General features: G+C 36.6%; 2 pseudogenes across 1 annotated transcript in view; both read right to left on the bottom strand.

Annotated features, from left to right (window-relative positions):
* EGFEM1P (EGF like and EMI domain containing 1, pseudogene) overlaps window positions 1-16,277 on the bottom strand; it is a 581,078-nt pseudogene that overhangs the window by 149,610 nt on the left and 415,191 nt on the right. The window lies entirely within an intron of this gene.
* RPSAP33 (ribosomal protein SA pseudogene 33) lies at window positions 13,619-14,506 on the bottom strand (annotated as a pseudogene).

The following is a 16,277-nucleotide window of genomic DNA, read 5'->3' as shown; positions in this document are numbered from 1 at the left end:
TATGTTAACATCTTGGTGTATTTTTTTTTTCTAGTCTTCACACAAAAGTCTAACACTTTTTATATTTTCCCAAATTCTTTCCCCACTTAATCTAGTAAAATTCCCTTCAAGTTGTTTAGGCTTTCAAAACCTGCAGCATCACAACCACTTTGTGAGGCAAATGGATTCAAAATCCAGGGAAGGTGTGCCTAAATGTAGGTGAGGAGAGTAGATTAGATGAAGAAATGGGTGGAAAAACCGGTTTATACTTTCCAGACTCCTAGGGCCATGGTAAGAAGAAATGCATTACTATTGTGATATACTATTCTACTTGCCATAATTTTAAGTTAGAAAAGATTCCAAATGAAAATAATTTTGTGCAGAAACAAAATTCTAGGAGGCTTAGTTATTCTAAATGACTAATTCCTGGAGACGCTAAGATTGTCTTGGCATCGCTGTAGAATTTTCATAAACACAGGGACATTGACTGATTGCATCCAAAGATACATCCCAATCACTCAGAATAGAATTCACAGACCACAACAAATAGTTCATTTGACTAATATTCCTGAAGTCACTCGGCACACTACCATTTGCATATTGTAAAAGATTTAATGAAAAATTCATAGAGGACTTGATTACACTAATGACTTTAGTTATATTGGGCCTTTCTTTATAAACCTGGATAAAGTAATGTTAATAATACTAGCCTACTTCTGTGCCACGCTTTACAACACTTTCAAATGCAGCCTGTTTTTTAAACAAGTGCTGCTGGAAGGAGAATTAGCAGATAAGATATTGGTAAATGAAGGAATTAGGGTAATTTAATGCATTGGTTCAGATCTAAATTTTTTTAGCATATTAGTGTTTTGCCCAACCAAGTGCCAGCAGCTAAATGTACACTACACAACTTTAGGACTACGTACAATGCCTCCCTTACTCCATATTCTTCCTCTTAACTTGGGTTAACCAAATCCATGCTCTTGGAAGCACATACCCATTGCACTTTGTATATTTTGACCTGCCTTCCATAGCTCAAAAGCCTCAATCCTTCCTTACCCCCTTTTATCAAGCCAACTTCTCTCTCTCTTTCTTTCTCTCTCTCTCTCTCCTTTTTTTTCTTAAGGCAAAGTTCTATATTTACTGCAGAATTGATTTATTAGGATTTCATTTGTCTTTGAAATTGCAATAGTATTGTTATGAGTATGGTCATTTTAGATAGAGCTCAGGTTATAAAGTTGCATTTGTTTTTAGTATTGTGCCCTTGTTTTCATTAATGATTTTTAGGGCTGTGAGGTTTTCTAGGAACTCATATTATAGTAGAAATACCTGTACATTGTGTTTTTTGTTTGTCTAAACAAACTTATGAGGCTCATAATCTTGTGAAATGAAGCTTCATCACCGTGACTGACAATAAATGAATAAATAAACTTATGAGGTAGGCAGGGCTATTTCCTCCATTTCACAGATGAAGAAACAGGTCCAGAGAGCTTAGATGTTCATCCATCAGCACATGGCAAGTAATGGTCAGAAAGAGTCTGGAGCCCTGGCCTGCTGATTCGTATTCTAATGCTCTTGATACAGTAACACACTCAACATTGTTAATAACTATCTGCATACATTGTTTTATTAATTATGACCTGCCTTATAATGTAGTTTCACAGATTTAAATTAGTATTTCAAAATTTGATGCTTATTTTTTTTAGGTGTTCAAGACTCGTCTGCTTAGCTACTCTTATTTGTGATTCTCTTGAATGCCTTAGAACATAGTAGAAACCCTTGCTTTTATCCTCCATTCCCCACTCCCATCTTGTCCAAAACAAAAAAAAAAAAAAAAGAAAGAAAGAAAGCACAATACATCAGCTGCATTGCTGAGGGATTGAGGTCTTAAAAAGAATGCTCTAATTCACAAATAAAAATCCCATGACTGCACATTGGTCCTGGTGTCTCAGAAGACTAATGTTTGCTGGAAAGGTATTACAGGCCTTTCTACCCAAGAGATGAGAAAACGGACCTGGTTAAAATGGGCATGTGAATAATCAGATCATCCCCAAATACAGCTACATAGGATGATTCATTATAGATTCATCCATGACTATGCAGTGCACATTTACTGAACACTTTTCATGTATGACACATTTTTAGGCACTGAAACACAGAAACAAACATAACACAGCCCCTGCCCTCTAGCACAAAGGAAAAAAAGACTGGTGAGAAGTTCCACTAGAAAGGCTTGGAAGTGGTTCTCAAAATTAATGGTATCCAATTTACCTGGAGGGTTTACTAAAACCAATTGGTTAATTAAAACAAAAAGATTGTTGGGTTTCACATTCTAAGTTTCTGTTTTTTTAAGGTCAAGAGTGGGGGCTGAGATTTTGCATTTGTAACATTCTTTTATGTGATGCTAAGGCTGCTGGTTACTTAACCTTGTTAAGCTTTTATTATCTGTATAAAATGGACCTCAGTAATAGTGCCTAACCCATAAGATTGGTTTGAGGATTTAAAAAATTGATAACAAAGAGCCTAACACATAGTGAGAAGCCAATAAATGTTAGCTTCTAATATTATTTTCATTATTATTAAGGTGTTTTAGGAGGATCCTTTCAAATTATCTCTCCTAATTCAAAATATTTGAGATTTATTTACCAAAGACAAACTGATAAAAATTAAATAAAATTCTGAGAGAGTTTACTTTTAGTAATACTAAGAATTAAATCAGCAATAACCTATTCTTCCCTTATTCTGCTTTTGATACGGTGGAGACCACTGGGCATCTAAGACGAGTTGATAAGGGTGAAAGTATTATCCCGAGGAGAAGATAAAAGCAACAACAAAAAAGAGCTTGAAGTAAAATAGTCAACTTAAAAATCCTCTTGTCTGTCCTATATCCCCACTTAACACACACAAATTTCCATGCAGGAACCAGAACTCCATCTACACTTTGCCTGTCTCTGTAAAAGCCATTATTATTATAATAGCAGAATCATTAAAGAAGGAAATATTGGACTCCTTTTTTCAGTTGTAGGTCTGCTGTTTCAAAACTCAAGCTGTGTCCAGTTCTGTTACATGACAAGCCTCCTGAACATGTCCTCAGCAGGACACGACATAAGTTGAAAATAAGGTTATTGGAAAAAAAAGTACAGAAAATAATGATTGATCGCCCATGGAAAACAGCTGCTTCTTGTTAGCAGTTAAACAAGTGCTCTCTTGCTGGGTTTTGAATATATATATATATATTTTTTAGACTGAGTCTCGCTCTGTTGCCCAGGCTGGAGTGCAGTGGCACAATCTCAGCTTACCACAACCTCCACCTCCTGGGTTCAAGCGATTCTCCTGCCTCAGCCTCTCAAGTAGCTGGGATTACAGGCATCCACCACCACGCCTGGCTAATTTATTTTATTTTATTTTTTTCATATTTTTTAGTAGAGACAGAGTTTCTCCATGTTGGCCAGGCTAGTCTTGACCTCCTCACCTCAGGAGATCCGGATTACAGGCCTGAGCCACCACACCTGGCCAGGTTTTGCAGAAATCTTAATGCTAAATACAGAGACATTCCAACAAAGGCATATACGGTACGAAAAGAATACAGAAAATGCCTTTCCTTAACAAAATTTCTCTGAAACTTCAAGTACATAAAAATCTCTAAACAATTAATACCCAAGCAAGGTGAGGCCTGCCTTAGGCCAATTAAAAAAATGAAATATTTATTACAGATGGGTTCTTTACTAAACATAGGACAATACAGGAAAAAAAAAACTAAATCAAAATTACCTAAACATTAGATAGCAGAAGCAAACTAGTATAGTATCCATGTGATAGATTATTCTTTTGTTTGTTCCTTGCTAAAGGTGTGATGCCCTATTCAAGTAAACAAAGAATATGCTTTCATTGAATTTGTGAATATCTCTTCTAAGTTTAAATTTTATTAATGATGCTCTAAGCTTTAAAAAAATCAAAGAAGTCATTACATGGAAAAGATACTTGCACACACATATTTATAGCAGCACAGTTTGCAATTGCAAAAATGTGGAACTAACCAAATGCCCATCAATCAATGAGTGGATAAAGAAACTCTGGTATATATACACAGGATGAAATACTACTCGGCCATAAAAAGGAATGAATTAATGGCATCTGGAGAGACCTGGATGAGATTGGAGACTATTATTCTAAGTGAAGTAACTCAGGAATGGTAAACCAAATATTGTATTTTCTTACTCATAAGTGGGAGCTAAGTTATGAGGATGCAGAAGCATAAGAATGACAATGGACTTTGGGGACTCAGGGGGAAAGGGTGGGAAAGGGTGAGGGATAAAAGACTACAAATATGGTGCAATGTATACTGCTCGGATGATGGGTGCACCAAAATCTCAAACATCACCACTAAAGAACTTACTCATGTCACCAAACACTACCTGTTCTCCCAGTAAACTATGGAAATTAAAATAAAAATACTACGATCAATTAGGAATATAAAGATTTAAAATGTGCCATTAAATAAATTACCTAACATTTTAAAAAATCACTTTATGTTTCAGTGAACAAAAATTTACAAAAAATGGAAGCATACTTTAATTCCTGGATGACGTTTTAACTATTGTTCTTAAGGGGTTGGATTTTTTGCAGTCTCCTGGTACAGAACTCACAAATGATGAGCATCAACTGTGTATTCTTCACCACTTTAAAGATATTGCTCCAGTTGTTTTCTAGATTCTACTATAAAAAAAACTATGGCATTTTAGGCATTCTGTCTTTTCAGCCTTGCTGATTTTAGAATTTTTTCTTTATTCCTGATGTTCTGAGGTTTCACTAGAGGTGGTATGGCTTTAATTACCTCTATAACAGTTAATCTTCACTTCTAATCTGAAAGTATATATCTTTCTCTAATTCTGAAAAAAAAAAAACATTTTTAGCTGTCCTCTCTCCAAACATTCCTTCTTTGCCATTTCTCCTGTTTCTGAGACTCCTAATACCCATGTACTGTAACCCCTCAGTAGATCATCTGTGTAGCTTAACTCTTCTTCCATATTTTTATCTCTATATAATTTGGCTGTGTGCTATAAATGAAATCCTCAGCATTATCTTTTGCTAATTCTTTCTTAAGTTATATCAATACCTATATGCACAATTTTGACACTTTTGATGCCTCCTCATTTTCGATTCACAGTTGCCAGTTTTTGTTTCATTAAATTTTTAGTATTCCTTTTTCTGTCTTTTTGATGATTTTGACCGTAGTTAATTACAAGCCATTTATTACTATTATTCACTTGTTGATGAAACTAAGTTCATCTTCTAATGTTGAGGGTTTCTTTTTTAAGCTTTTTTCCTTGGCATTGATTGTTTTTTTGTTTGTTTGTTTGTTTTGTTTTTTGTTTTTTTGGGACGGAGTTTCGCTTTTGTTGCCCAGGCTGGAGTGCAATGGCATGATCTCGGCTCACTGCAACCTCCGCCTCCCGGGTTCAAGCGATTCTCCTGCCTCAGCCTCCTGAGTAGCTGGGATTACAGGTACCGCAACCACACCCAGCTAATTTTTGTATGTTAATAGAGACAGGGTTTCACCATGTTGGTCAGGCTGGTGTCAAACTCCTGAACTCAGGTGATCCACCTGCCTCGGCCTCCCAAAGTGCTGGGATTACAGGCATGAGCCACCGCGCCCAGCTGGCATTGATTGTTTTCTATGTGCCTTAGAATTTTAGTTGGCAACTTCGATTTGCATAAAAGCATTTTTTTTTCTTCTGCTCTCTCTCTGAATTCATTCCTCCCTTCTATCATTTTGCAGCTGCCTGCATCTGGACTCTCTAGGAGAGGTATTGCATGAGGCCTATGCATTCCAGAAAATGGAACTAACACAGACTGTCTTGGAACAATCGGGTGGTTTGGCCTGGTTCTGAGTCCTTCTCGCCATCCAATGTATGCAAATTAGAACAAACAGCTTAAGTCAGCCTCCTTTCCTAGCCCCTAATTCCCTGCAGTGAGTTCTGCCCTGGTACCCTGACGTTTTGGGTTGAACTGTGTCCCCCACAAATTTATACATTGAAGTTCTAACCTCTAGTATCCCATAAGGTGACATTATTTGGAAAAAGTGTCATTGCAGATGTAATTAGTTAGGATTAGGTCATATGGAAGCAAAATGAGTTCCTAATCTAATAAGTCTGCTGTCCTTCGAAAAAGAACACCATGTGAAGAGAAAGACACTCACACAGGGAGAACGCCACATAATAATGAAGTCAGAGATTGGGGTGATGTTTCTGCAAGCCAACATTCAGCACAGATTGCCAGCACAACACCAGAAGCTAGGGAAGAGGCCTGGAACAGATCCTTCCATAGCACCTTCAGGAGCATGGCCCTTCTGGAACTTTGATCTCAGACTTCTATCCACCAGAATGATGAAACAATAAATTTCGGTTGTTTAAGCCTTTATTTTGGCAACTCTAGAAAACTAACATATCTACCATATGTGGGGTTCTTTAAGTCTCTGTTAGGAGTTTTTATGCCTTGACTCTTTCCAGAAATGGAGCCCAAAATATCTGAGATTTTAGCTATGTCCGTCCACATCCACTTACAACTCCGTGATTCTGTTGCTTTTTTTGTAACATGAAAAAGTCTTTTTTTTAATCTTAATTTTTTTAGTTTGGCTTTTTAAACCTAATTTTAAAAATATATTTTACTTACCACTAACATATCTCTGGACAGAATAAAAGAGCTTAATATGGGAACTCACATTACAATAATTCCCCAAAATATCTATTTTCTAAGAATTATATAAGAAACATATATTCTTTTATAAGTGTAAAAAGGATTTTAAGGCAAAAAGACACATTTAACAATGTATATTTTGATCCATGGTTTTAACAATATTTTACAGAGGCAAGAAAAAAATATGAAGAAATGAGAAAGTGAAGAAGCAACAACAACAACAAAAAACCATCAAAAAAGGAAGTCCATATTGCTCTAAGAGGATAAGTCAGGGTTCTCTAAACACAGATTCCAAGGAGCAGGAAAAATTTTTTTTAAATCAATAATGAAAAATCGATTGCTATTTCTATTTTCCTTTGATTACTATTAATATTTTCTAATCCACTGTTATAGATATAATGGTTCCCTTAAGTCTTTCACTGGCTAGCTTTCACCCACGTCTGTTTAGAGAAAAAAACTGCAACACTAAATCAGAGCCCCTAAGAAATGGGTGTGGGTGGCACCAAGTTTCCTAGTAGGTCTTTTAGGAAGCTGGGTGGAAGGATACGCTTTGCTGCCTGGAGACCAACATTCAAATGCATTTGTGCTATTTTTTCTGATGAACAGCTTGCGCTGTTAAAATAAACTGCTAATAAAACCTTTCAATGATTCCCCATTCAGAGTATCTGCAAACATCAGCCATGGCCAATAAACCAATCAAACAGCCTAAAAAATTGTAAACAGAGTTGAAGTCAGTTTGTAACATACAATTAAAAATATCCAACAAACCTAGGATCTAGGTCATGCACATAAAAAATAGACAATAATTATATAAAGCAAGGGCAATTGAATTATCTCCCACACAATTCTTATCACATTTTTATTATACATTTTTTAAAAGCATTTCTGGTATATAAGCTAACACATTTTCAATGTAAATTCTTCATTGGAGATATTATAAATATCTTTGCACAAGATGTTTATGGGGTAGGTGTCATTGTAGAAAGAGTACTAGATTTGGAGTAAAAAACAAACTGTGGTGCCATAAGTTATTGACCATAAGAAAATTTTAATCTTTCTGAGTCCTCTTTTCCTCAGAAGTAGAAGCAGGAATAAAACCTCTTTCCTTACATGGTAGATTATGTCAATAATGAAGTGTTATTTAACAATTTATTTACATTACTATAAAAACATGGGGAGAAAAATGGCTGAAGAACAGAAAAAAAGTAAAATTCAGCAAAAACGAATTATCTCCTTGAAAAGTAAAGACACATCATGGCATCGTTATTTCAACTTGTGAAAGAATGTACACGTGTCTAGTCATAATGTGCAGGCTGACTTAAGTGCATGGCTTGGCCTCAGATACACTGGCCCTGATCTTTTTGCTTCATGTTTTCAATCACTATGGTGGAGTCAGAGGTTTGAATAATATTTGGTTCACATAAAGGGTCTGATGAACCAAACCCACACAGGTTCAACTGAATTCCTATTTATGGATATATTAGTGGGTAAAAAACCTTGGACTGTTCTTTTTTCACAGTGAATCATGTTCCTGGTGAGTAGATCTATTCAAGAAATCAAATTATAGATGGGAAAGTAGACTTTGCACTATGAACAAAGAAAGTCATGAGCCTTTACTGCCATCAAGCTGAACAAGCCCAGTGAGACTTGCGCTCCTCTGATGGGCTGGAAAGCAGACTCTTCCTTGGGCAGAATCAGAAACATTCAATCGGCCAATATTTATTTTCTATGAGCCAGCAATTTGTTGGACCTTAGGTAGTATACAGATGTATGGAAAGGACGCTGTACTCAAGGAATGCTGAGTCTAATAAGACAAACATGTGAACCCCTAACTATAATAAAAATAAGATTGAGTCTTGTGTAGATTTTATGTGAGTGTGCAGTGAGTGATGGAAAAAGAAATGAAAGGAAGCAGGCCAGGTGTGATTGCTCACGTCTGTAATGCCAGCACTTTGGGAGGCTGAGGTGGGCGGATCACCTGAGGTTGGGAGTTCGAGACCAGCCTGACCAACATGGAGAAACTCTGTGTCTACTAAAAATACAAAATTAGCCAGGCATGGTGGTGCATGCCTGTAATCCCAGCTACTTGGGAGGCTGAGGCAGGAGAATTGCTTGAACCGTGGAGGTGGAGGTTGCAGTCAGTGGAGATCACGCCATTTCTCTCCAGCCCTGGACAACAAGAGCGAAACTCCATCTCCAAAAAAAAAAAATAAAATAAAATAAAGAAAGGAAGAAATGGAAGGAAGAAGGAAGCAAACGTTGGGGCACTAGGAGTGTCAGAAGAGTAGGCATCTTCCATACATTTTCCCATTCAATGTAACCTTCCCAACAGTTCCACGAAGTAGAGATATCACCCATATATTAGCTATGGTCAATTTGTCCTCAGGAAATCTAGAGAAGATTAGCTCCAATAGTCCTTTTGCCATTAGTTGACAGGGACAGTGGATAATTAGGAAATTATACCCTCATTTGTGGGAAGCTGAGAAGTCCTGCTACAGGGCACACAGAATGGTATGAATGTCCTTGCTGCACTGATGTTTTCATTTATCCTAAGTGATAAATCAGAAATATTTGTTTTATGGAATGTAATAATTTTTTATGTTACAATATTTATAACTATAAAATTTTAATTATTTAAGCACCTCCCTTCTCCTCCCTTTATTCTCCAAAGTGTCCTAGTTTAGGCAATCAGTTTAAGTGGAGCGGTGTCCTTGTCTATGGTAAATTCCCAAGGTTTGTTGTCTCACTCCAAGGGAATCAAGGACATGGACACATGAGAAATGGGTTTAGGAGCGGAGGTTTAATAGTCAAAAGAAAAAAAAAAAGAATAGCTTTCTCTCCTGGGAGAGAGAAGTGCACCTGAATGGGGCCTCCGGCCCCAAGGAAGAGTGCACAGGATTTTATAGACAGGCTTGAGAAGGCCGTGTCAGATTTACATAGGGCCCAAAGATTGGTTGGACCAGGTTTGATGTTTACATAGTATGCGAGGAAGCTGGTCACCCTACCCTAATCTTTTATTACGCAAATAAAATCTCTACTTGGCCATCTGCCATGTTGCCTGCTCCTTACTGTGCATGTGGTTGACAAGGAAAGGGGACAATGGCGCCACCATGTTGGACATGCCTAGTCCCAGTTAGCCTTTCCTATTGGCACAGCTGCCAGCATTCAAGCAAGCTAGAAGCTTGCTTGTCTATGTCTGCAGGTTTATTTTACACACTGCTTTTTGTTATAAAAGAAATGATTTGGAGGCTGCTTTTTATTAAAAGTAAAACCTTACTGAGGACTTCCTTACCTTCACTATCTGCCTAAATCATTTCTTCTTAACTCCTATATCATTACAATTATTCTATTCGGTGATCCTGGTACTCACCTGGCCTAAGTGCACCTATGCAAAAGTGTACAGGGATACTACTTGAATCATTGCAACTGTCCTTCAAGTTCCACCCAGCCATGAGACCCAGAATTTCCTCTAGCAATATCTGACTGTAATAGGGAATTGCCAACTAGTTCTCCAAACCTTAGCAAAGATAAGAACAGACTTCAATTTTTAGCCAGGCCAAGAAACTCCAAGCAGCTACCTAGGCAGGCTTAACCTGTCATCTCACCAACCTCACCGTAAAAAGCAGGATTTTATGCCATTAAATCTCTAAAATTATTTTATTATTATTATATTTCATATTATTTACTTTCCAGAAAGAAAATAAGAATATTTCCTGAACCAAATTTTGAGAAACATTAATCAACAATGTTTTATTTATAAATGTATTCATATAAAAATGTTATAAAAATATATATATACTTAGTAACACCCTTAATAAATTGACTTCATTAAAAAGAGAAAGCTCACATTAAGTCAGGGTATGCCTAGAAAAGTTGGGTTATGTCCTCAGTTACTTAAAAAGAAATAATAATACCAATACTTGGGAATAAGTGGTTCCAAATTATAAATCAGGTGATAGATCCTCCTAAATGATTCTAAATTACTTTTCTCTGGCTTTAGAAAAAGAACAACAACCTATATATAGAGATAAATCCCCAAATTGTCTGATGCCTCATTAGTCTGAAAAGAAACGTTTTGACTCCATTATATTTAAAATAGCAAACTATAATTAGCATGAACTGAGCAACAATTTTTTTAAAAAGACATTGTAGGCTTAATCATAGAGGATATCTTCACTATAACAAGCAGGAGTGAGCCGTGCATAAAGCATAATTTGAAAAGTCCAGGTCCTACTTGGCATATGGAGATACCATATAAGCCAGTGCTTGAAATATAACAGTTGCAATTAACAGCCTGGGAGTAATATCCAAAAAAGGAAACAGATATATCAAAGTCAAAAAACAGGTCCTGTAATTATTACTTTACTTGGTGAGGAGACCAGGTAGCTCATTGCTGTCTGAGTAAGTAAGTAATTCTTCCAAGAATACTACAGGGAAACCTGTCCCTTATTGAATTGTACCCATGAGCCCAGGATGTTATTTTATCTCATTTTGTCCCCCTTCTCTCATGAAGGATTAGATAATCATTAGGGATAAAACAAGAGAACAGTGAATGGAAAGAGACAGAGAGATAATTTCAAATATGATATGTTTCTTACTTTAACCTACCTCTGGCCTAATGGTCTTTGGAAACTTAAAATAATTTTAGAGAAATCATAATGAACAAATACATTTAGAAGTCAGACATGTGATTTGGTATAATAAAATGAACAAGAATATATTATTGATGCTAATTTCAGTTCTGTAATTCTAAGTACTAATATTTGATCCAAAATGGCTATCATGACTTAAATTGTAAACTAAAAACTAAGAATGTTGCCAAATTTACTGCCAATCTGGTGTTAGATGTTTAAGCTATATAACAAAGAATGAATATTAACTAGTATTCCACTAATATGTTTAGTAGAGAAGGATGACTAGTAGCAAGTATGTGAAGTCTTTTTGTGTATATTTAAAAAAAATTTACTATGAATGCTAGTGGTCTAATTACCATAGCCTGGTTTTCTTTCATCATAGCTAATAATAAAACATTCTTGCACGTTTTAAATTTAACAAGTATATATTTTATCAAATTTTTCTCTTTGAATAGTTTTACTGGATGTAAAATAATGTTAAAATTTGAGAAAGCACAATAGTGCCATTTTGAAAATATTTTGTTTTTATTATAAATGTATCCCATGTTCAAGGTAAGAAAAAAGTATAAACAGTGCAGAGAAGAAACAACTGAAAATAAAAGTCTCCCCCTTTTAATGACCCCCTCATATTTTCCCAGACACAGAGGTTATAATACTGTTAATAACTTCCTATGAATTTATCCAGATACCTTAAAATACCAGTTCTAACACACACATACACGCAAGGGTTAATATAGTGTAGACAATTTTTCATCTGTATATAAGTAACTATTTTATTCTTTTTGATTATTACCTTATGTTTAAATTTGTTAACATTTATTATTAAGGCATGAAAGTCTAGGTAAGTAAATACCTTTGTAAACAGGTCTGAGGCACAAAGGATATCCTCCCTGATAAAGAAGCCAATGGAAAAAAGACAATTACATATCTAAGAAAATCACAGGTGATGATTTTGCTCATTGTCTTTTCTGTGAACATCATGTAGGCCAGAGGCTCTGGCTTTTTTATTTTATAGAATATAGTCATTCGAGGAAACACTATTGAGCAAGGTGTCATTCGTAAAACATTTGTGTTTTAACAAGCCAAAGGGTATTTTTATTTTTATCAACTCCTCTCATACAGAATCACTTAGAAACACTGGCATTTTCAATGAACTTCATATTCCAGGAAATGAATACAAGCCCATACTTTGAAAACAGAACAAAATGCAATTTTGTTTGTTAAATTACTCGAAATAGCAATCTAACTGGATTTTTGAGTAATTGAGCTTCCTTTTTCTTCAGCTACTAGTCTTTTAATATTAAACAGCCCCACTAACATTTTGTAGATAATCATGCCTAAAGTAGTGCTTAAAATTGGGCTGTTAATGAGAGTGCTGGCAGATCTGCGGTTCTTGCAAAATCTATTATAGATTGTTTTAAAACTTTATTAATGGTATATCAGATGGGTCCATAAAATACAGGGATGTTTCAATACAGAATATGACTTTTATTAGTTCTCCCATGAAAAACGGCATCAGTTTGATTCGAGATGGCAATAAAAAATATATAGCCTGTTCTAGGGAGCTCCATTTTCCCAGATCTTGAGATTTGTGATTAGCAGGCAAAGAATTCATATCACATAGCAGGTAAGGTAATGGACAAAGTAAGATTTACCATGCCAAAACTTTCCATAGAAAGTCAAATCCATACAACCTGGCTGATGTGGCATTCCTCCTGATATTTCCTTTAAGCGCATTCAAGGATTACATACACACATTTTTGATGCTCAGTATTAGGAACGAGATGACCCATTTATATATAATAGTTATAGTAGGTTATAGTTATATAATTATAAATATATAATATTTATATTTTATATAATATAAATATTATATACATAATAGTTATAATAGATTAGTCCGCTCAAAACTACCAGAAAATGTCTGCGAGTTCCACACCTTCTTTAAGATATCTTAAGAAAAAAAAGAAGTTAATGCCATTGTAATTTAGAATATGTTCAATTTTCTTAACTTTCTGGGTTTTTTAACAAAATAATTGCAATATCCTGTATGTTATGACAAAGATTCCTATGCTTTTAGGTTTATGTGCCAGGCATATGCTTCTGACTTTCATAACACTTACTCCCCCATCCCATTCCCACCTAAAAATACATTCCTTTTTCAAAAACAATTATTGTTTTGTTTAGTTTTAGGAACTGATGTTTATTTTTCATCAACCTGATTTCCATCTTGTTTAAAAGTCTGTAGAAAAATGGCTTAAGACATTCAGTGGTTGTTTCTACCCATTCAGTGGCCTAAGCAGTGGCAGCTGCAGACCAATTTTCCATGGTAGGCTGTGTTATGGTCTTCAATAGGGAACTGCTGAATAGGCACAGAAGGCATCTGCATGCCTTCAAACCAGACTGCAACCTCAGGTTGAGGAGCAGTAAACTCAGGAGCTGGAGCAGTCCTTTCACCCTGAAATTCCTCCTTGGTTACAGCTTTCTCAGAAGCAGACTGCCCTTCCTTTTAAGGGTCTTTGCAGAAGTAGAAATCAGACATGACCTTCCATGGGTGTTCACAGGAGACGGTGCCACACATGCACAGAACTTCCAGGCCAGCACCCACCATATCAGACCCACTCAATGAGTTCCCTTGTTGTTGCTTGGATGGCAATGTCCACACAGTGCAGAGAAGAATCTGTGTTACACAGAGCAATGGTAGGTATGTTAACATAACATGCTTCTGTGAGGGGCTGGTGGTCAGCTCTGGGATCAGTAAGCACCAGAAGACATGGCTCCCAGAAGGCTGCCTGGATTTGGATAGTAAAGGTTCCAGAAATAGAGCCATCAGCAACAGGAGTGGCTCCAGTGGCAGCAGCAAACTTCTCCACAGCCCACTGGCCAGTATTCCCTGAGGACATGACACTGATATCTGTTGTTAATGGCAACAATGGCACGAGCTGCCAGCAGAAGCTTCTCCCAGGTCTTCTTCAGATTTATGGTATAGATGCCATCGCTTTTCTTTTTGGAAATGTACTGTTGCATTTGAAAGTCAGGTTGGTGCCATCTAAGTGGGTTTCTGCTGCAAGGAATTTGAGGACATCCTTCTTCATTTGCAGGACATTAAAGACTCTGGACATGGTGAAAGTTTCCCTTTAATTACAATGGGAATCCAGAACAATGCGGTATGGGCCCCTCTCTGGGTAGCAAGGAAAGCTACTATTATCTTCTGAAGCAGAATATCATAGTTGTTTTAGGTCTATTTTTAAGAATGCATAAACTTAAACTTAGGAACTCAGACATTAGAAATTAATTATGCTTGCTGGGCATGGTGGCTCACGCCTGTAATCCTAGCACTTCAGGAGGCAGAGGCAGGTGGATTGCTTGAGCTCAGGAATTTGGACCAGACTGGGCAACATGTGAAAAACCCATCTCTACCAAAAATACAAACAATTAGCCAGGCGTAGTGGCAGGCACCTGTGGTCCCAGCTACTCTGGAGGCTGAGGTGGGAGGATCCCTTGAGCCTGGGAGGCGAAGGCTGCAGTGAGCCAAGATCGTGCCACTGCCCTTCAACCTGGGTGCAGAGTAAGACAACGTCAAAAAAAAAAAAAAAAAAAAAAAAAAAAAAAAAAGAAAAAGAAAAAGAAAGGAAAGGGAAGTTAATCATGTTTTCCAGGAGTCTCCTGAGAGAATATTTCAATCATGTCTACAGACTAATTTTTAAATTAAAATTTAATATAAAATTTGTATTGTGCTGAATTCTGAGAATACTTCCTTAGTATTTAAGAAGTGAAATACTTGATTAAAACCTTACCAAATCCCATCTCTTCCAATGGCTTTACTCTGATCTATTTTGTGCCCATTCATCCTTTCACATACCACTCAGTATAAATCTACTACATGCCAGGTCTTGTGCAAGGCAGCAGTCTGGGCTACTACACAATTAAGGAATGATCCTCACCTTCAAGACATCTATAGTCTGATGAGAAAGACAATTTAACAGATAAATGTAATACACCATCTGAAGTTCTAATAGTAAGTTTGTTCAAAGAGTTCTGGGATCACAGGGAAACAAAAGGATTAAACTTTCACTATACACTAGAGAAAAAAAAGTCCAGAAAAGTTCAGAGAGAAGATGGTTGTGAGCTGGTTATATTCCCTCCATCCCTGTCTCCCCACCTCCAACCTGCCATTAAGCGTCTCTCCCATCATTCTATCCCTTCCACTTTTAAATGATAATACCACGTGGTTGTTAAGGAGCTTTCCCATAGTAAATTTCTCTACTGTGTGATCACATTCCTTTTTTTTAAATAGGAGTTGGGGAATATCATACGTTCTGATAGTCGAAGTTACAATCAGGTTATTAATGACTTCAGAAGGAGAAATTACATTTCTACCCACCCTAAACTTCAAGATCTGTCCTAATATCTTCTGCTTTTTCTGTAGTAAGATATATTTTGAAGATCACTCCTCTGATTATTCCCTTGGCTAGGTTCCAGGTTCAATGGCATTTAGGAAGACATTAACATACCATCAACCAATTATTTCAGGGCATCAAAAAATTTCACATTTGCAAAGACCTTTGCTATTGACATCTCCTTTTCACCGTGACACTCAGTTTATTCTCAAAAAAATCCCATCTCACGCCTGTAATCCCTGCACTTTGGGAGGCAGATCACGAGGTCAGGAGATCGAGACAATCCTGGCTAACACAGTGAAACCCTGTCTCTACTAAAAATACAAAAAATTAGCCAGGCTTCATGGCAGGCGCCTGTAGTCCCAGCAACTAGGGAGGCTGAGGCAGGAGAATGGCATGAACCTGGGAGGCAGAGCTTGCAGTGAGCTGAGATCGCACCACTGCACTCCAGCCTGGGTGACAGAGCAAGACTCTGTCTCAAAAAAAAAAAAAAAAAAAAAAAAATCCTTAAGTTTGTTTGGGCATATGTGATTATTCCCTTTTTAGAGATGAGAAAACTAAGATTCTC

This window comes from Homo sapiens, chromosome 3, assembly GCF_000001405.40.
Source record: "Homo sapiens chromosome 3, GRCh38.p14 Primary Assembly".
NCBI classification, from domain to species: Eukaryota; Metazoa; Chordata; class Mammalia; order Primates; family Hominidae; genus Homo; species Homo sapiens.
Note: the sequence above shows the minus strand (reverse complement) of the source record. Positions and strands in the feature narration are given on the sequence as shown.